Source organism: Homo sapiens, chromosome 4 (genome assembly GCF_000001405.40).
Source record: "Homo sapiens chromosome 4, GRCh38.p14 Primary Assembly".
Classification (NCBI taxonomy): domain Eukaryota; kingdom Metazoa; phylum Chordata; class Mammalia; order Primates; family Hominidae; genus Homo; species Homo sapiens.
Genome location: NC_000004.12, coordinates 76,619,574 through 76,642,054, shown reverse-complemented (window position 1 = coordinate 76,642,054; position 22,481 = coordinate 76,619,574). Strand labels below are relative to the sequence as shown.

General features: G+C 41.3%; 1 protein-coding gene and 1 long non-coding RNA gene across 9 annotated transcripts in view; one reads left to right on the top strand and one right to left on the bottom strand.

Annotated features, from left to right (window-relative positions):
• The window catches only part of SHROOM3 (shroom family member 3), a 348,025-nt gene that overhangs the window by 141,199 nt on the left and 184,345 nt on the right, over positions 1-22,481 (bottom strand). The window lies entirely within an intron of this gene.
• Positions 1-22,481, top strand: part of LOC105377290 (uncharacterized) — a 32,582-nt gene that overhangs the window by 5,623 nt on the left and 4,478 nt on the right. For 3 of the 8 annotated variants that reach the window (XR_007058146.1, XR_007058147.1, XR_007058145.1), the window contains 2 exons: positions 328-423; positions 5,866-6,840. This is a non-coding gene — a long non-coding RNA (uncharacterized LOC105377290). Of the gene's footprint in view, positions 1-317; positions 424-5,865; positions 6,841-17,692; positions 17,908-18,814; positions 19,854-22,481 lie in introns of those variants that run through there. The other 5 variants (XR_001741402.3, XR_001741404.2, XR_007058149.1 and 2 more) reach the window with 5 other exon arrangements.

Below are 22,481 nucleotides of genomic sequence, written 5' to 3'. Positions count from 1 at the left end.
AAGTGTGTGTCTCATCTTTCCTGCTCTCAACCAAATTTGCCTTCCTGGCTGATCAAAAACATGGAGCTGGATCTGAAATATTTTGAGATCCTGTCCTACTTAAGCTCTAAAAATGACAGGCTCTGACCGGTTTCCCCTCCCCAGCACCTGCCTCTCCCTGGAGTATATTTCCATCTTCCTTTCTATTTAGTTCACCTCTACCTGCCTATTTATTTGTTTAAAATGTGAACCAACTGGTCGGGGACAGTAATCTAATTCTGCATTTGGTTTGAGGCCAATGCATTGAGGGCATTCAATAAATAATGGTGTTTGGTGAGCCTTTCCTAGATCCTGGCTGCTTATGTCCAAGATGAAGCTAGGACCTTCAGAAGCAAGCTCAAGAGATGATGAATGAAGGAAGGTGGAGCTCCGAAGACCATGAAGGTAAATTTGCTCTGGTTGCCTGGCCCAGAGATTACGCACCTGTGTGTTGGATTGCTGGGTTGAAGCCTGTGACATGCAAATGTTACTTCCGTGCATCGGCTAGGGTGTGCCCTTCTTCCTGACATGGTTTTCCCTGATTCAATCTGGGTAAAAGTACACAAAGGCTTCCTTCCTATGGGCATACAGGCCTGTGTTTACTTGCCTTCATTAAGGAAATTCTCCTTCCTGTGGGTGGGTGGTTCTGGGAGGGGTGAAACAGGTGTCTCTGTGGGATTGAATGGGCTGTCCCAAGGGAGGATGAGCAGGGAGAAGATGGAGAGTCCTTAAACTAAAATCTCATGAACAATATGTGTTTATCCATTCATCAAGGCATCCTTCCTGTCCATCCACTGAATGATAGGCACTCAAGTTACAAAGCTGAATATTATGGGACTTGGCTCATGGGAAAGCCTCAATAAATATTTCCTGCATTAATGATTTAAATTAATACATTGGCTTTACTTTAAATATTTCCTACCAGTGTGACATTGTACTTTCGGTACAACAGATACTATCCAGTATATTTCAGCCCACAGTTAAAAGAGGGATGGCCTGCATAAAAAGGATATTCCAGCATATTCCCTACATTCCTGGACTTCGATCCCCCATTTCCTCACTTTTAACCTTCTTCCCATTTATGTATGCATGCAGCCCCTTTGGTTTGACCCACTGCTTGGTTTCACCTGGCCTCTGACAGGCAATTCAAATACAGATTGCTTGCAGGCAACTCTAGGTGGTTCCAACTTAGCCTGCAGCTCTCCTTTTTTAAGCTGCAGATTCACCAGCAGCAAGGAGCTAGAGAGACACCTGGGGTGCTGGCTCCCAGTTTCAGTGAGATCATCCGGCTTTTGGGCATTTTGGCTTGCACAGCTGTATCTCCCATTCTCCATCTGTAGAACGGCAATGATGCCAACCAGCTCAGAGACAGAGCAAGGGCTGGTGAGCTCATAGCTGGAAAGGATGTACCCAAGAACAAAACAATATTATGAGGCAAAATTCTGATTTTATGGTCCCTCAATAGCAAGTCTCATACTGTTTCTGGCTTTTCTGCTTCTGTGATTTTGCCACATTACTTCCAAGGAGGAGGTCTGAATAATTAGTATGACTAGTCTTCTCAAGCACAGGCTCCCATATTTAGAATGGATTTGGCACCTGGCTGTGGCTGGCTGCTAATCAAACACGCCAGCAGGTGAGCGTGAAGAGCACCTGGCTTAAAGAAGCACTTCTGACGCGGGAGAGCATATTTTAAAGTGTCACTCAAAGCTGGATTCAATTACATGACAAGTTTGAAAAGAAATCATGTTACAAAATGAGAAAGCGATCTTTATGCTTAAAGATGCAGAAATCTTTGCAGATTACAGCTAACGACACACGTAGACACACACACAAAGACACCAATGAATTATTTCCCTCACCCCCTCACAGGGTATACAAAACAAATTCTTTGAGCGTGAACTATGGGGGTCTCTTTAGAAGAAAACTCCCCCTTTATCTGCTTGTAATAATCTGGCAGCTGACAAAAATGTTAGCAACATAACACAAGAGAGGAGCTAAAATCTAAAATAAACACCATTCAGAAAGGAAAATAGCAAAACCAATGTATAAGCAAAATTATGGTTACAAGAGTAACCATAATTACTCTCGTATTATAACTTTCTAACATAAAAGTGAACAAGCAGACATTATTTTGAGTTTTAAAAAAGAAGTTTGCAGAAATAAGATTCCTTTAGGGAAAACGTCGTCTAACCTAAAATCAGCCCAAAGGTGACTGGAAGAGGCAGTCAACATTCATTTTATTCTTGTGTGCCAAGTAAGAACTTCCCATTTACTTAACGGGGGAAGGAAGAGTAACGCTGTAGTGGTGTCTTCACATTTGCCCCTTCTCCCCAGAAAACTTTACCCAGGAATACTGGCTAATAGGAAACACAGGCCCATGAAGCCCTCACTTACATGTTTCGTTGTCTTCTTGAGTTTTGGGTCCCAAGTCTGGGAAGCATCAGAGCCAGGCAGCCGCCCTTGCTTACCACCATATCCACAACAGGCCAGCAATGAGATTGGCATGGGAGAGGAGGGCAGCCCAGAGGGAAGAGGAAGAGGCTCTTACTCACCACGCACTCAGAGCTGGCACTGGTTATAAAAACAATAGAACTCCCCCGTGTAGGTGCACCTCCCAGCCAACTTGCCTCACCACCAATTTGCAGCAATAGACCTTGCTGTGGGCATGAAAGGGAAGGGAGCTGGGATGTGGGGATGTGGAAGAAACCCCAAGCACTTTTTGGAGAAATATTCATTTCAGGGTGGCTTTTGTGAATCCAGAGGCTCTTCAGAGGCTATCTACCTCAACAGTAGGTAGCAGGGAGTGATACATGGGTTTATTAGGTACTCAGTAAGTGGCTGTGGATTGTTCCATTGGGGTTATTTAGAACATCCCCTTATAACTAGAGCTAGTCTACTGAGGGACACTAGCCAAAGATTGAGCAGTTGACTTGTGACTGCCTCAAGGGGACTGCCTTACCATGTCTGGGGGATAGCGATTCTCTCTCTCCCCAAAGCTCACTTCGGTATCTACACGGTTAAGGGCTTACTGGTCCGTAGGAGTTCTTGGTTGGTCTGTGTCATTCGAGACTGAATGCCCCTCCCTTCCCAAGAGGTTAGGTCACTTTTAGGGTTAGCAAAAGTTTTAGGGTCTTCAGAAGTAGTAAACAAATCACCTCTCTTGATCTGATCCGCATAGCACTCATTCCCTAGGGTCAGACTGCAGAGGTATCGGAGGAAGGAAAAGATAAGATGGGATCATTTCATTTCTATCTTGCTCTTGAATTTGCTTGAAAAATATTAGCTACCTTGCCTTATTCCTGAAGGCCATTTTAGAGCTTTGCAGATAAAGGCACAGGAAAAAATAAAAAGGAATGGTCTTCCTGGATGAATTATGCTATTTAAAGTTTTGAACCCATTTGGTCTGCTAGCTTTGTATGCCAGAAAATTAACCTTTAACTAGATCCTTTTGAAAGAATATTTTGACTAAAAAAGAAAACTTTTTGTAAAGACATGAGGTCTCACTCTTTCACTCAGGCATAATGCAGCAGTGTGATCATAGCTTACTACAGCCTTGAACTCCTAGGCGCAAGCGATCCTCCTGCCTCGCCTCCTGAGTAGCTAGAACTACAGATGTGCACCACCACATCTGGCTGATTTTTTTTTTGTTGAAACAGGGTCTTGCTATGCTGCTTACTCAAAATATTTTATATTTTTACTTTTAGTTTTAATTTTTTTGGGTACATAGTAGGTATATATAAACATATTTTTGATTTAATTCAATACTTATGTCAGAGGCAACCCATGCATTGGAAATAGCTAACACTAATCAACCAACCATCTAACATCTGTTATAAATATACAACATCAGATAATTCATTTCTGGATTTTCTACACATTTGGTGCTATTAAAAAATTAGGATGAACGAAAGCAGAGATGGAAGTCTCTATCTGTTGACTCATCTAACAGGTTTGGCAAAAGCTTTCTTTGACCTCTCCAAGAAGATAACCTCTTAGGTGTCCAGCTCATAGTCACCCCACCTAACCTCCAATCCCAGTTTGTGTTGGGTGGTGTTGACTACTTCCCCGGAGCTACCAAGATGCCACTCAGCACACGAATTGAGTCATTAAACCCTGCCAGACCTGACCTCTAGGAGGGGAAAGGTATTTTAGGAGAGGCACTGAGCCCAGTTCCCTTCATCCTCCCTCCCAAGGCACTCGCCCTGACTCAGAGACTGGAGTCCTTGGTTTTGGTTCATAATCCCCAGGCCTAGTGATGAGGGTGGTTTCCCCAGTGCAAGCAATTGAAAAGTTTCGACTGAACACATTCCCACAACTTCCAAAACTTGGATTCATTCTTAAAGCACACAGAGTTGCCATTCTGGGTAGAATTCTTTACCTTCACAGTTTGTTTCTCCTTCAGCAAGTCTCTCGTTGCCTGATGGAGCCAGTGATTGTGAAGTTACCACCAGCTTCTAAAGATCCTGAGCATAGCCTTCTTCTCAAAAAATTATAAAGGAAACACTGAATTTCACACAGGAAAAAAGAGAAAAGGAGCATGAATTATTCAGAGTAATCTTCCCTTTTGAGGCCTTTCTTTTCCCTGAATATAATGATTCTTCTAACATTCTCATTTTTACTACCACAGTTCCGTTCTTGATCATATTACCAGGGTGAGGCCAAGCCCTCAGTCTTCACATTTTCATTAGACCTAGAAAAACAACGGGAAACAGAGAGCCTGTGCCTATTGCATCTGCAAGAGTTTTGGTTCAACCTCTGTGGGTCCATCTTTTCTTGATACAGTGGGCTCATACAGAGAAGCACTGATATTTTCTTTCTTTGGAAAACCCCTGATTTCTTAAATAGGAGTATATATCATAGAAATATCTTTTCTCTCATCCAGGAATGAATTCAAAGGCTATAATTCTTGGACAATTACAGTAAGTCCTCAGTTAATGTCATTGGTAGGTTCTTAAAAACTACAACTTTAAGCAAAATGATTTCTAGTTAAACCAATTCTACCATAGGCTAATTGATAGAAACAAGAGTTAAATTCCTATGATGTATTTCTGGCCACAAAAACATCACCAAACTTCTAAATAACGACCAAAGAACTTCTAATATTAATCATTGAAATAAATGTGAACTATGTATGCATTTAAGAAAGATTAATAAAAACAAGTAAGATATTTATTTACCTACTTCTTCCAGTTCAGTGCTTTGGTTGGCCATGGCCTGTCTCAGCAGCTCAGGGTGAAAGGTGGTTACCAACCCTAGCCAGGATGTCATCCCATTACAGGGCGCACTCACACACAAACCCATGCTCATTCAGACTGGGACTCTGTAGACACGCCAACTCATCTAACATGCATATCCCTGGGATGTGGGGGAAAACAGAGTCCCTGGGGAAAACCCACACAGACATGGGAAGAAAGTGCAAATTCTACACAGATAGTGACCCCAGCTGGAAATCAATTTTTTTTCCTCATCAATTTATAGTGAAACAGTGTTGAACAAAACAATGTTATTTGAGGACCTGTGGTATAGGTAAATGAGACTGCTAGGCACATTAGGAAAAGTGATTTTAAATTACTAATAGTAGTAATTTCAGGGCTGAAGTAAAAGGCTGCTTCTGAGTCCTTAGCTATACTTTATGTGAAAGTGACTACACAGAAGGTTCATTAAATAATTACCAACTTCTTTCCCTTAGAGTTCCTAATGGTTGGAGTATTTATTAAACAAGTAGGGCTGTGTGTATGTCTTTCCATCATGAAGTCTGTCAAAAATTTTAAAATAGCTGGGTGTTTCTTGAAATATTTGTCACATGGCAATTAAAACAAAGTAATGAAGAACATCTTGAAATTTCAGAACTGCTACAGAAGAAAACAAGCTTTCAATAAAATAAAAGAGACATCAATCACACATTTTACCCATTTATGAAACATGCTCAGGACAAGGTACTCAGACGTGAAGAAGCATTCCCAGGAACCATCTTGGAGAACTGGACTTGGTAACATGAGAGCTGGGAAGTCCCAATTCTTGGTCATGAAGAGTCTACCACGAAGAGAATTGGTTTGGAAACCAGAAGGCTAACTTTTACATGAGGCACCAGGGCTAATGCCCACAGATTTCAGAGAGGACAATAATGGGTATTTCTGATGTTGAAATCCTAGGATTGATCTGACAGCACAAACCAAATGCCAGCAGTTTCCCTGGAGTTCTGCTGCGTGCTTTTGCCAACCCTGATGATCCAGAGGACCTCACATCTCAAGTGGCTCCTATGGTGAAGGAACTACGGAGTTTCTCTGAGCACCTAAGATTACTCTGCTTCAAGGAACTCATGAGTGTGTGGACAGAAAATATCTTTGAGGGATTCCCAGGAGTGACTCCAATGAAAGACCAAGAGAGTGAGTACACATAGGCTGTTGTTCCATTTCTCCAGAGGCCTTTCAGACCTGATTTAGGCAGGACAGAATTTCTTTGGAAGAGTCCCTGAGTTCCACATTTCTAGAATTCTACAACCTGAATGGTAGGTCTGGCTGTCCCTCCATCAGGCTGTACTTATTTAATAAATACCCCAACCATTAGGAACTCAAGGGGAAACGAGTTGGAATTAGAAGACACTGTTTTTTGGTTCTGGTTTTTTCTTTTATGACCAGCTCATGTCAGGTCCCAAAACGAAGAGGAGGGCAGGTCTCAAACTAGGAGAAGAGATTTACACTTTCTCTCACCAAAAGGAGGATTGTAATCCCCCAAATATGGTTGATCAGTGAGTGACCCTTGAGTTAGCAGAAGCTGGAGCTACTATGTAATGGCCGTATGGATGAGGAGACAGTCAGAGGCAAGGTGTCCACATGGTTCAGTGAGGGTCTTCCTCTACCTTTAGCTTGGCCTCTTTGAACATATCTAATTGCAGTCTTCCAGGGTAATTTTGAAGACAGAAACTTTAAGATGATAATATCAGCTTAATAAAGACAGGAGGTTTTGTTCCCATCTCCCCCCGTTCTCTTCTGGCCCCTGCAGTATCGTCAGCATAATGCCCAACACACAGTAGGTGCTCAATAAATATCTGTGGAGTAAATACAATGATGCTATTGCTGGAATTAATGGATAGTCAAGCCAGCTTCAGGAAAGGGTGTGGAATTGTCACAAAAAGATTCTTAAAGGAAACACGGTCTATCAATTCTGCTTTTAGAGTGTGTGTATGTGCTAACAGAGTTCAATACATCTCTTTCCTTCTTCCTCTAAGTCACACAAACATTTTTTCCTGCTTATATAATAAAATACAGTTATTTTTAAAAGTTTAAAAATAAAGTCACCCTTCAAAGAACAAGTGAATACATATATGAAATACGGTTAGAGATTGTTTTGAATCATTTTGGAATTTGAAGATGCTTTCTCTTTTTGCAACACTACTGATGAAAAGCTTAGAGTTTGATAAATTATAAACCTAATGAGGCTTCTAACTCCTCTAGCTAGTCATTAGCTGCCAGGAAATGATCATTATTACTTAATTATAAGATGAAACTAAACATTGGGAAACGTTGAAAGTGATCTGATTGGCCAATACACTAAGGACTAATTTCACAGGCATGCCCTCTACATACCAATTAAAGCTGCATCACCATAATAAAATGCTGCATGCTGTTGGCTGTGTTCTATGTTGTCATTTTCAGATTAGAACAACAAAAATAATTCCAGTCTAGGGCACTTCCTGGCCACCAACGTCTGCTAGGACTTTCTATACCTTGGAGGATAAGGTCTCCTCCTGAGGGCTTATTACTCCTCAGGAAATGCCCCAAATTCTATGCACGAAGTAAGAGGCACTTAAAAACAATAAAGGCAACAAATCAATCAATTATCTGTTTTCCTAGCTGTCAGGTAGAAAAATACCAAAATGCTTTCCAAAAGGAAAGTGTACATACGTGACACTTTCATTTTGATTTTGAGGGACAGTTTATTAGCAGAGTGAGAATGGGTGTTAGGGGAGAATATTGAGGACTAGCACTCCATTAGTATGGGCTCTACTGGCACACAGATTTAAAAACACCATTAAGAAGGGTTCTCCAGGATAAAATTTTCCATTCTAGCTCAATGCATTATAACATCTATGTCATTCTATACCAATACTGATTTGATAAAATGTCATCTGCTTTTCCTTTCCGGAGTCTCCCTTCCATTTGCCTGGTATTAAAGGATAGCATATTGGTTGAGACTAGGGGCCTGGAGCTCCCAGACTGCCTGGGTTCCAATCCCAATGCTATTATTTAAACATACTATTGGGTATTTGGGTGAGAAGGAGAGAGAAAATGAAGATTTTTTGCTGAAACAAAGGCACCACCCAACTCAAGTACAAGGTGTGTTGCAGAATTTCTTTTCTTTTTTTTTTTTTTTTTTTTTTGAGACGGAGTCTCGCTCTGCCACCCAGGCTGGAGTGCGGTGGCGCAATCTCGGCTCACTGCAAGCTCCGCCTCCCGGGTTCACGCCATTCTGCTGCCTCAGCCTCCCGCATAGCTGGGACTTACAGGCGCCCGCCACCACACCCGGCTAATTTTTTGTATTTTTAATAGAGACGGGCTTTCACCGTGTTAGTCAGAATGGTCTCGATCTCCCGACCTCGTGATCCGCCTGCCTTGGCTGGGATTACAGGCGTGAGCCACCACGCCCGGCCAGTTAACAAGATTTCTTTTCCTTTTTCTTTTTCTTTTTTTTTTTTTTTTTTTTTGAGACTGAGTCTTACTCTGTCCCCCAGGCTGGAGTGCAGTGTCCCTCCACTGCAACCTCCACTTCCCAGATTCAAGCGATTCTCATGCCTCAGCCTCCTGAGTAGCTGGGACTACGGATGTGTGCCACCACATAGAGACTCACCAAGTTAGCCAGGATGGTCTCAAACTCCTGGCCTCAAGAGATTCCCCCGCCTCAGCCTTCCAAAGTGCTGGGATTACAGGCATGAGCCACCGCGCTCGGCTGCAAGATTTCAATTGTCAATTGATCACCTGGAGTTTAGAATAGTCGTGTGACCTTATCAAAAAGGGATTATAACAGCTCCTACCTCCTGAGGAATTGTGAGGATAAAATGAGCAAAAACACCTTTAAACTGCACACTATGTGCTCTATAAATACTGGGTTTTTCTTATTATTGCTTTTTGTTCTATTTGAGGGGTAGAGCTGCAGGAAACAGATCCAAGAAATTAGTATTCAAGATTGGTAAAGGCAACATGGATACTCATCAAGGTGTCTCCATGAAAACTTAATCCCCCCAAGTAGACACAGCAGATCAAATTTCCTAGGAATATGTATTAGTTTTAATTCGCCTTTTTAAAGCCTAATAATTGGGAGTTTTTCTACCAATACTGCTTGTAGTCCTGCCTCATTACCGTATCACTAGCTAAAATGGTGATAGAAACTCCAAACATAAATTGTCTGTACTTGTCTTCATTTTGTCATTTCCCATTCTCCCTTCAACCCACTGCAGTTCAGCCTTCTTCCCCTCCATCCCCAGTAATTGCTCTGTCAAAGCCACCTCTTGCCAAGTCAATGATTTGTGTTTATGTCATGGACCCCTCAGCAGCATTCATCACAGCTCACTATTGCCTCCTTAAACACTTTCTTTTCTTGACTTCCACACCTCCACACCCTACTGAGTTTCTCTCCTTGTCCCCAACTCACTGTTTCTTTTAAGTAGCCTTTGCTGGGTCCATCTCCTCATGAGGTTGATATGTCCCAGGGCTTGGTCTTCATATCTCTATCTACATTCTTTCCTAGGATGAGGGATTCCAGTCCTTTGAACTTAAATATTATTTATACAAAGTTGGTAATTCTCAACTTTCTCTCTCTGGCTCTCTCTCTCCCTCAGATTCCAAACTCTTTTGTACAATTACCTGCCCGGATGTCAGATTGGTCTATCCAACATAATAAATCTAAAATAGAACTCTGAATTCTGCTGTTCCCAACCCCTCAACCTCTACTCTACAAACTTGCTATTCTCCAGTTTTCCCCATCTTGACTCATGATCCCATTACCATCCCAATTATTCAGATAAAACCCAGTGTCTCCTCCATTGTTTCTTCCCTTAATCCTTTTATTCAATCATCTGCAAGTCAGTTGATCCGATCAGTCCCAAATTTCATCACTTCAGCTATCTTCACTGCTACCACCCTAAGCTACCACCATCTCCTTAGATTGGTGTAATAATTTCATAACTGGTCTCCCTCTCTGCTTCGACTTTTTCCCTCATTGACTCTATTTCCTCAAAAAAAGGAATCTCAGTGTGATTTCAAGAAATAAAGTTGATAATAATTTTTCCTTTGCTTAAAATGCTCCAGTAGCCTCGTGCTATACTTAGAATACAATTCTTACTATGGCCTATGAGGCCCTACGTGATGTGGTCCCAACCCTGCTCGCTGTGCTTCTGTCATACTGCTAAGATTGTTCCCACATCAAGGCCCTTGCTCTTGGGATTTTTCTCTCTGCCTGGAATAGCCCACATCTCCATGTGGCTGGTTCTTTCCTATGGTTTAGGTTTCAGTTCAAAAGTCACCTTGCGGCCAGGTGTGGTGGCTCATGTCTGTAATCCCAGCACTTTGGGAGGCTGAGGCGGGTGGATCACCTGAGGTTGGGAGTTCAAGACCAGCCTGGCCAATATGGTGAAACCCCATCTCTACTAAAAAAAAATACAAAAAATTAGCTGGGCGTGGTGGCAGGCACCTGTAATCTCAGCTACTTAGGAGACTGAGGCAGGATAATTACTTGAACCCAGAGGTAGAGGTTTCAGTGAGCCAAGATTGCACCACTACACTCCAGCCTGGGTGCAACAGAGCAAGACTCCATCTCAAAAAAAAAAAAAAAAAAAAAGATTAAAAAAAAGTCACCTGTCTTTCTCTGACCCTCCTATTAAAGCACCTCACTCAATCTCTCTCTATCCCAAGACCCCGTTCCATTTTCTTCATAGCACTTATTACTGTCTGAACTTACCTTCTTTGCTTATTTGTTTGTTGTCTGCATACCCCTATAAGACTGTAAATTCTATGAAAACAAATACCTCATCTATCTTATTCATCCTACAATTCCCATGCCTGCAACCCATGAATATTTGTTCAATGAGTTAATTCTCTCTAAGTGGAACAGCAGTTTACAAATTATACATAATGACCCATTGGAACTCAGTAGCCCATCCACATAATTCACAATAGCTAAGAAAGTGCTGGCACTTGGGGTAAATTCAAGTGGAATATATCTCTGACTGTAATCCACAGTCAAATAAAAAGTATGTTCAATTCTATATTCCTTTAGCTCTTTCCAGGCTTCTCCAATTTATCATTAAGAATCATCAAAAGCTCGTGGCAGAGTCGCCTACATTCTCTTTCTTATCCTTCTTCCTTAAGTTTCCTAGTCTAACAGGAAAAGAATCACTTTTTTGTGACTGATTGAATGGAAAAAAAATGATTTCCCCATGTCCCAGCTTCCTATAATCCAATGGTCACCCCCTGATTTATCCAAAACCTGGCCTGAGCAACTCAGAAGGCTCTCTCCGACTCTCCCTTCAAAGGGCAGGTCTGCTAGACTTCGCCTGTGGCTTTTTACTGTACAGGATGCAAGTGCCACCAAAGTTAATGCATAAGAGAGCTCTACTACCTGGAGTTTTGCTTTGAAGGAAACAATTGGTGGCAGAAATGACCTCTGACTTTACCTCTCTGTTATCACCTTTCCTGCTCCATCTAATGAAGCTGCAAGTGCTCTAGCTGGTGTAAGGAAGAGGAAAGAGCTGAAAGGTAGGCACTCCTGGTCCCGCTGTAACCATTTCGTGTAATTTTGGGCAAGTCATTTAACTCCTCTGAGCCTAGCCTCTTTATCTGTAAAATGAGAGGATTTTAGTAGATGACCCCTAGTTCAAGCTGTACGTGGTATGAAAATATGGTGAACCAGTAAATACAAAACAATGAAACTAACAAGTGTAGCTGGTTATGATTGGTGCAGTGCTACTGTAGTTAAAAGACAATAAAAGTCAAGATCAACTTGGCCAGAGGACTAGACTGAGTCCTGTGTCATTGGCTGCAACTTCTTGAGACGGGACTTTCAGGAATTAGCAACTTCCCATGGAAATTTCATGGTTCATATATAGGCTGAAGACTCCAAAATTCACATATCCAGCCCAGTTTCCACTCCTAAATACCAGATTCATACACCAATCTGCCTCATTAACATCTGCACCCAATTTTAGTAGCTATACACAATTTACAATGTTTAAAACCTTTCTTGCCTGTTTCACTTCTTATCTTTTCCATCTCAGTTGATGGCAGTTCCAGCCACCTGGTACTCAACACTAAAAGCTTGACTTCTCTCTTTCTCTCACCCCACATTGAGCATTCCAGTAGATACTGTTGTTTCGACCTTCAAAATAAATACAGAATCCAACCACATCTCCCATCTCCCTCGCTATGATCCAGGTCCAAGTCACCAGCATCTCTGTCCTGGATCCGTGCCACAGCCTCCTCACTGGAATCCTTGCCTTGCCCTTATCTGCTCACCTCCAGTCTTCATAGCCAGAGTGATTATTCTAAAATATAAGCCAAAGTATGTTGATTCTCTGCTCAAAACCCTGCAACCTTTCATCATTTCACCAGAATAAAAGCAAGTCCTTACAACGGGCTGCAAGTCCCCATATGATCCACTCCTCCCCACATACCCGTTACCTCTTTGACCTGATCTGGTACTATCCTCCCTCACTCACTCTGCCCCAGCCACAGTGGCCTTCTTGCTCTTTTTCAAACAGACCAGGCATGGTCTTGGCCTTAGAGTCTTTGCACAGACAATTCCCTTTACTAGGTGTCACCATAGCTACCATCTTCATCTCCTTCAAATGTTGCTTTGGCATTGAGGCTTACCCTCACTTCCTTATTTAAAATTACAACCAGCTGGGCGTGGTGGTTCACATCTGTAATCCCAGCAATTTTGGAGGCCAAGGTGGGCAGATCCCTTGAGCTCAGGAGTTAGAGACCAGCCTGGGCAACATGGCAAAACCCCATCTCTATAAAAAATACAGAAAAAACTTAGCTGGGTAATGGTGGCACACACCTGTAGTCCCAGCTATTCGGGAGGCTGAGACGGGAGAATCGCTTGAGCCCAGGAGATCCAAGCTGCGGTGAGTCAAGATCGCACCACTGCATTCCAGGCTGGGTGACAAAGCGGGACCCTGTATCAAAAAAAAAAAATTCAACCTGTCACCCTTTTTCCTACCCTAGAACTCCTGATCCTCTTCTCCATTTTTTCCCATGCACTAATCTTTGAATATTATTTCTTTACTTTGATACTTATAATTTTTAAATGCCCTTCAAATATTCTTTATAAAGTAGTTATAGATTCATGTAAATTACTTTTTATAAAATAGTTATGTTTAACATTTACTATCTATACCTAACCCTGTATATAATCTCAACTAAGGCAGGGATTTTGGCATGTTTTATCCCTGGCACAAAGACACAATAAGTATTTGTTGAGTGAAGTAAAGGACAAGTATCACTGCAGGTTAGGAGTAATCCCAACGTCTGTGCCCCACTGCATTCACTTCCTGGAAAAGCATTAATTTGTTTAAGGTTCACTAAGCATTGTTCACATTTCCTCTTGGTTGATCCCATCCTCATATCAAGAAACACATGAGAGATCCAACCTGCTCACTGAACCACAGAGACAAATAATGATACACCTTGCTCTCTTTGAATTTAAGGCTATTTCCCCAGTGAACCAAGGATTTCAGAAACAGGGAAAAATCTAGTGATCTATATAAATTAATTTGCTAATAGTGAAAGAAGTAGCCAAATATCATTCTAACGTAAGATCTAAGATCCCTTCCTGGACTACTTTCCTAACATCAATGTTAACTCTATAATTTTTTTATATCTCACTTTCTAAAACTTTTTAAAGCCATTTCTAGGTTTCTTTTGGGGAAATCATGCCTATATTTTCAATGCCTTTTCATACAGACCTGTTAGTCTGTCCAAACTGTCATAAAGTAGGTGTCTATTTTCAAAAGGCCTACATGGTAATCCAGGATAGAGAAAGGAAGAAGAAGCACCTGAAAGGACATTCTCATCGAAGGGGAGGTTGCCAATGTTGAATTATAGGAACTAACTTGGGGCTAATATTTATAGCTTCTATAAGTTGGAATCAATGCCCTATCTTTTGAATTACCTTCGTGAATAAAAGTTAGTAGTAAGACTTTTGGGCTGGACATGGTGGCACACACCCGTAGTCCCAGCTACTGGGGAGGCTGAGGCAGGAGGATCATTTGAGACCAGGAGTTCAAGGCTGCAGTGCATGATGATCATGCCTATGAATAGCCACTACCTTCCATTCTGGGCAACATAGCAAGACCCCATTTCTAAAAAAAAAAAAAAAGACTTTTGCAAAACAGAGGAATATGTATGCCTTTAAACCTATGATAATCATAGGCTTTGTGGATAATTTTAGGAAGACAGGTTGCTGACTTTCTTGGCAGTTGACTTCCAGAGAGCTTAAAATAGGCATTCTCCCTAAATCCTTGTCACCACCATCATGTACAGAATATAAACAATAGAGAACACAATATTGGGTAGAATCTCTACCTAGTGGACATCTTACTGGCATATCTACAAGACCTGAAACTTAATTTTCTTAAAATATCAGAACTAATTCAGCCACAAGTCTCTAAAGACATGGCTGTTGGGTTGTATGTTATTCCAGAAATAAAACCACAGTTCTGAAGGGTCTGACTTGGGACACAAGTTTTAGGCTATTTTGTAAGCTTTACGTGAACCCTAGGATCTCCCCCTGCAGGCTGCTCTCCAGAAGTTCACGTGTTAACCTCCTGAGTCTGGAAGTTGGGAGAAAATCTGAGAATAATATTCAGAGAAAAAGCCCCTACTCGCATCCCCCAAAGTGCTGTGATCCTAACAGAAGCAAATAATTTGACATAGCCACACACGATCTATATACTGTAATATGGCTGTAGAATCTGGGAAACACAATTGTAGACTCATCTGTTTGGCAATTCCTAATCATTTGGACATAGGAAGACTCCCAACAGTTTGGATTAAAATCCTAAAGTTCTGTCAATGCTGTCTGTGGGCGTGAATTCAAGAAGGCTGTTGTTGGTAGCCCATTAGCCATGATGTCATCATGGTATACACAAAGAAAAGTATTCTAAAATGACCTGTACAAACATCCAATGCCTGAGAAAACAATAGTGCTTTAATTGAGGAAGAGAAATATGCTATAAAGAAAGGAAGCTTTTGGACCAAGAGACCAAGTTTCATATCCTAGATTTGCCACTTACTAGGTGATCTTGGCCAAGGTGTTTCACCTCTCTGAGCCTCAATTCCTTCCTCTGTAAAGAGGGACAATACCACCCACCTATCAGTGTTGTTGAGATGATCAGAGATGATGCAAATAAAATGCCTGGCATTGACTCTGAATAAATGGCAGCTACTTCAGGTAATTCTACCCATGCATGTTAAACTAAGATTATGCTTCATAATCCCAGCAATTTCATAACTGCAATCATGGTTATCTGAAATTTTTCTTATTTGTACAACTTGGGGATGAATGGTAAGCAGTGTTTGAGATAGACAATGGGTATGTATTTAAGAAGGAATAGTTTAAGAAAGAACAGTTTTAAGCTGCCTTTTTGGTGGAAATGTAGCAGCAAGCAGCATTTGTGAAACTCAACTTGTCTTATTTAAATACCCACAATTAATATTCAGGCAAATAGAATTAATGTAGCAGACTGGAGGCAAATTTTAAAACTATCTCCACCTAGAGATAAAAAAAATCCCACTATCATTTCTACCACTTGGAGAGAGTGATTTTCCTTTCTTTTGATTTCCCAGCGTTGAATTTTACATGAATTAGGGTTCGCCTGATGAAGCAGCCCTACGTACGTGCTTCCTCTTCACAACCATTTTGTGCTTCAATTTTAAATCTATATAATGCTATAAAGAGCTGCCTCCTGCAGAGTTATAAAACACCACAGAGCACATTCTGCCCTCTGCTCTCTTCCCTCCAACAATAAACGAAAAGTTAAGGAGAGTTCTCTATGTTTAAAGCAAACTGAGTGACAACTAGACTCAATTGAGCCTTCAACAAATATGTGCTGTATAGCTACTGTATGCCAGGCACTGTGCTAGGCTCTAAGTATAATAGTGAGCGAGATGGAAACAGTCCTTGCTCACAAGTTGCTTAGAGTCTAAAAAGGAAGAGAGAAGTTTAAATACAATATGGTTAGTTATAGGGGTAGACAAAGACATGATGTCATGAGAATATTTGCCAGCCTTTAGAGAGGGGAGGATAAGCCTTCTAGTTAGAGAAGTAACACATAGGAAGAGGCAGAAAGTATGGTATGCTCAGGAACTGGACATGGTTCTCGGCGATTGGAGTGTGAAGTAGGAAAGGAAGGATGCTGTGGTCAGGTATGAGGCTGGAGAGAAACACTTCCTATATTGTGTGTAAATCTTGACTTTATCTTGATGAGATGTGAGCAATGAGGGCTTTAGGTAATGCAAGAAAAGACAGACAGAGGGAGAGGCTGGGTGGGAGGAGGGACTAAAGAGGGAGAAGGAGAGGGAGGGAAGTGAGGGGTTGAGGGAGAGGGAGGGAGACAGAAGATTGGTTATCACTGTTGAAAATGAAAAGATTTGTTTCATATCCCCAAAAGAAGAATGTTCTGTTGTATTTTATTTTGGCATAGCTGTATAAAACTAAGAAGCTAGCTATTTGGGGTTAGGTAAAAAATTTGAAAACAGAATATTTAAGGCCTATAGTTTCTCACCAGGATATTTTAAACTATGTTCAATAGCACCTATTAGAATTTACTTTGGGGCTGATGAAGCTGAAACTGTAACCATACTGCTATTGTAGTTTGGAAATGATTTTGGTTCCTGGCAAAGCAAAGATTTGGCTGATCATCTCATTTAACATGGGAACTACAGCCCAAAAGTACTGCATAAACTAGGAGTCTGGCATTAAAATATCTGCGCTCTCCTTATACAATTCAAGGGTACTTGAATTACCAAGCAAGGCTTACACAGGAACCTTTTCAATTCCAATAATAATATAATATCATTGTACTGAGGTTAATGAAGAAACAATAGGTCATAAAGGCAAAAATTATGAAGCATATGCTATTATTCTTTTTAACTCAGAAAAATACTAAAATCCATTGTAGACCACATCAAACAATTTTGTAAACATAGCAAGTCTTACCTGGCTTTAATTCAATCTTTCCAATGTTCAATATTATTAAATCCTAAAAGAATTTGAGGCAGCTCTGGAATATGCAACATATACACTCATATTAGTACAGATGTTAACACATTGATTCATTTCAGACACCTCTTTATAATTTCTGTTTGGCTTCTGAGGCACAGTCCCACTTTAAAAACACCACGATAACCACTCTTTTTAAAAACGTAACAGAGAGTCGCCAGATACCAGTATTCACGTGTAGTGGTAACTGCTGGGAATTCTCATGCCCCTCACCCACCCTTGGAAACCCGAATAACAAAACAGGACTCAAGGCCTTCTGAAATTACTCAGGCTGGAGCAAATGTTGCTCATGCTTCATCTCCCAGGAAACCTAAAAACTTCCCAAGAATGAAGTCACCACGGGAGCAAAGCAGGCAGCTGAGTGAACTCTGGAGCTCTAATGTACTGTCTTTTGTAGACAACAGCTCTTCGGTGTTAAAGCCACAAGACCAAGAGCAGACACAGCATCCAGAAGAAAACCTCTATTGGCAAGCACAAGACAGTGATCACAGATGTGGCCCCAGACGACGGAAGGACAGGAGTGCAGCACGCTGAAATGTCGGAATACTACACGCCTGCAATTGCCTTTCCCTCTGGCATTTAATGAGAAATAAAAAGCACATGTGAAGGTTTTATGATCATTTTAATTATGTGTTAAAAACACTATAGGTAACTCTTTTGGAATGTCCTTTTCTCTCCAACATAAGCGGATATTTGAAAAATATTTGGTTAGAAAAATTAAAATAACCTAAATTTAAAATCCATGTACAAGAATGACAAATACAAACATGATAGTGGTTAAAAGCAAAACAAAACTAAAATAGAATTTCTCTCAGAAATAAACCATCTCCACTGTATGCTTTAGAAAGAAAATGTAGAATCCTCAGTTATGGCGTATGAGTATGCAAGGAATATCTTTCTCCCCTTCCCCCGCCCAGATCTCTCATTTCAAATCCCAGGCGTGTTCATTCAATTCCACACTCTCAGCTCACACTGCTGAAAAATGCTTGGGTGTTTTGTGCAAATCCAAAGCTAAATAGGAAAGAGACAGAAAAAGATTTAGAGGCATAATAATCTTGAAAGAAAATAGTTCTGTATCATGTTTGTCAGTTAATGGGGAAAAAAAGTGCTTTAGGAAGTTTTAATTGAATAAGAACCTTTAAAATGTCATCTTTCTTCAAAGAAATATTTGTGCATATTGGATAAGAAAAATGTAGAATGTTCATGCTAACTCCTTGAAAAGAGCCAGATCATTTGGCCTATGTAGTAAATGGAGGATTCCGAGTGGTAGTCCAGTGCTTTCCTTGGAACCTCTGGCAATTAACTTTCTAGCTAGGAGTCAAGTTTTATAAACTGTTAAGTGACCAGGCAGACAGACTGGCTCTACAAGGTAATGTTTCCAATTTGACTCATGCTTATGGTCTTTGACTTTAAAAGTCATTTGTAGTCCAAGTGACACCAGACATTCTTAAAACTGGTATACTAAGGGATCAGCTTAGACTTTTGGATTTTGGTTGACTTTTTGCATTGTTGCCCACAGACTTGGTGCAGCAGGAGATACCTGTTATAGGGAAGAAGGAAGAAAGGAAGAGAAAAGAAAAGGAAAAGACCAAAATGCATCTCCTGGAAGCAAAATATCCCAAACTTGAAAGAGGAGTCACAACTTAAATCAAAAGCATGAAATGTGTTATAAGGAGGTCTTTTCCCTAAAACAAATATATTACTAAAACAGTAAACAGTGGTATGCTGTAAATCATAATCTTTTGCCTAATGCATTCCTAAAGTTTCATCCTAAGAGCAAACACCAGTGAGAAATGGACACTCAGGAACCCAGATAACTCAAAAGTTGGAAGGAAGCTGTCTGCAGTCATTTTCATTAAAGAGATAAGATCACCTGGCCCTCTTCAGTAGCTTTTACACTTAATGTCCCTCCCTCCCGACTCTCAAAGCTATAAACCTGAGAAGAAAAAACCCAGCTTTGCTTTTAGCCACAACTCTAGCAATTTAAGCAAAGACAGGGTAGGGAACAATAAAAATATTCATGGCCATCATGAAGATTTACCATAACACCCATTATACTTTCTTGGTGGAATTACTTCCCCGTGGCCTCCTTTCTTCAACCAAGGAAAAAATATGCCTTCCAAATTCCATTTTTTGTTCCTTCTTGAGCCAAAAATATAATCTATATTTGCTTAAAAGAGGGTTCTGGAAAGTGAAAGAGCCTTTATCTGCTTGTGAGAAATGGAATTAACTGAAAATCAAATGGAAACTTTGGTAGGAATACTATGGTGAATGGTTAAATATTTACAACATAAGAACCAGTTCGTTTGAAAACAAATGTACAAGTGCCTGGCTTCCTTCCCTGCCTCAGGAGTCAAGAATGTTCCGTTGCTGAGAAGGGCCATTTTATTGACATTCAAGTAAAAGATTTGGTTCCAGGAAAAGAAGGTAAGAGTGAATACAAGTGCTATGGTTCTACAAACTAGTATTGTACCAGATGAGTCCATGCTGATGAGGCTGTCCTTTAAAGATAAATTCACAAAGAAAAAGTGCCTAGGGGAAAATGAGTAATTCTGACATCAAGCATAGGAGTGCCCCTAGCACGACTAGGTCTAGTCGTCCAATTTCCCAAAACTAAATGGGATATAAAGAATGGAAGAACATTCAGCCGTGCGCAATCCCAGCACTTTGGGAGGCCGAGGTGGGTGGATCGCCTGAGGTAAGGAGTTCAAGACCAGCCTGCCCAGCATGGTGAAACCCCGACTCTACTAAAAATATAAAAATTAGCCAGGCGTGGTAGCAGGTGCCTGTAATCCCAGATACTTGGGAAGCTGAGGCAGGAGAATTGCTTGAACCCGGGATGTGGAGGTTGCAGTGAGCCGGAGATCGTGTCATTGCACTCCAGCCTGGGTAACAGAGTGAGACTCTGTCTCAAAAAAAAAAAAAAAAAGAACATTCAAACTGTCTCAGACCTAAAGAAAACGCTGGAACTATGTTATTTAGGCAACTGGGACCTGTATCTCATGCTGAATATGCAGTTCTGAAACAAGCAGCATAAACACTTACTCCATATTAGTTCAGATGTTAACACACTGATTCATTTCACACACTTCTTTGTAATTTCTGTTTTGTTTCTGAGGCACAACCCAACTTTGAAAACACCAGGACAACTACTCTTTATAAAAATGTGACAGAGGGTCTGTTTGTTCCCTAAGGTGGAAGGAAAAAGAAAGAATGATGGTGAGAAAATCAAGCTTCACCCAAACCACTGCCCTGCACATACAAATAAATAACCTCCAAGGCTCAATAGCCCAAGTTTGCTTTGGTGCAAAGGTGGTGGTTTGTGAACTAGAAAGGTGTGTAAAATAATTCCTATTAGCAATCCTTCTTTGTACTGTTTGTGTTTTCTCTTAATCAGCGTTAGTCCAGCCTCTCTGAAGGGACATGTTGGGCCTGCTGGGCTAATGTACCAGGTGACTCTGCAGCTCCTGATAGGGTTTCTGGAACAGTCTGATGATCACCTTAGCTTGTCATTCGGTAACTTCCTGGGACAGGTGTTAGCCCAGTGTGAGGCTCTCTGCAGTGCTGAGACTCTGCCCTTGACTGACAGGAAGTTTTTTGTTTTTTTTTTTAATACTTGGCAATAAAAGGCTCTTGGAGGTGGAAATGAAAAATCAATGGAGAAAACCACAGAAATCCCACTGAAACCAGCTTTACTTTTCTAGAGTCTTTCTGTTATAAGGGGCTGCTTCAGGTTTCCACATTTCCCTGGAGGGCAGGATGCTTAAGGGTTTTAATCCTAGTCCCTTCAGATCACATAATGGTGCTGATAAGGTGCTGTTCTGCTGACCCAGGGAAAAGTGCCCCTTCATCCTTTCATCTGCTTCTGGGTAGAAGTGACTGTTGAATGATTTAAAAGAGTCATTAAAGAGTGGAGAAATGCCTCCTCACTACAATGAAAGACTGAACGTTACACAGGAAGATGGTCATCGGGTTCCTCAGCCTGGTGACCCTAAGTTCCCATCTTTTCACTGCCTCTAGAGCTGAACATTGCCACACAGCCCCCTGCCCTTTCCGCCTCTGCCTCACCGTTCTCCACTCACATTTATTAATCCCCTGTAGTCGGGCTTTCAAGTTTGTCCAAACGGCTCCACCTCAATTGCCAAATCTGCCTGCCTCTTCTCAGTGTCCACACACTCCCTTGCTGTTGGCATTGCCAACCATTCCCTCCGTCTAAAACTTTCTTCCCTTGGCCTCTGAAACAATGTGTTCTTATTAGTCCTCCACCTGTCACTTGTGCTAGGTTTACTTCTTCCTGTAAGTACCAAGGTACCAGCCCTCCTCTCCTGGGCACTTCTGCTCTCGCCCTTGGGGATCCCATTCATTCTCATCTTTAATGGTCACCCTCTATGTAGATAATTCCCGTATCTCTAATATGTCTTTGGATGCTCTCCTTGGCTTTATTCTACATTTCCAACTGCCTGTTGGACACCTTCATCAGCAGAGCCCAAGACCTCTCCAAGACCAAAATCATCACCTTTTCCCAGAACAAACAAAAAAGTCCCAGACTGTCTTCCCAAATTGCCCATTTCTACTAACAACCTCACAATTCCACAAGTCGATGAGCTTCAAACATCCCTCACAAAAAATTAGTGATCAAATCCTATTGTTTCTTTTTCTTTTCTTCTTTTTTTTTTTTTTTTTTTTTTTGAGATAGATTCCTGTTCTGTTGCCCAGGCTGGAGTGCTGTGGCATCATCTTGGCTCACTGCAACTCCTGCCTCTCCCCTCCACCAGGTTCAAGTAATTCTCCTGCCTCAGCCTCCCGAGTAGGTCGGATTACAGGCATGTGCCACCACTCCTGGGTAATTTTTGTATTTTTAGTAGAGACAGGGTTTTGCCATGTTGGCCAGGCTGGTCTCGAACTCCTGACCTCAGGTGATCCACCCGCCTCGGCCTCCCAGAATGTTAGGATTAGAGGCATGAGCCACCACGCCTGGCCAATCCTATTGTTTCTTAAAGCCCTCTGGGTTTGTGTGACCGTCCCCTCTACTTCATTCTACTACAATCCCCTAATTCAAATCTTCACCACTTTTCCTCTAAACCATTACAGCTCTGTCTCTTACAATAAAAACAGTAGCTCGCCTCTCATTAGATAGTAAGTCTGTATCCCCATGTTTCCACTGAACTTCTGGATACACCCCTCAG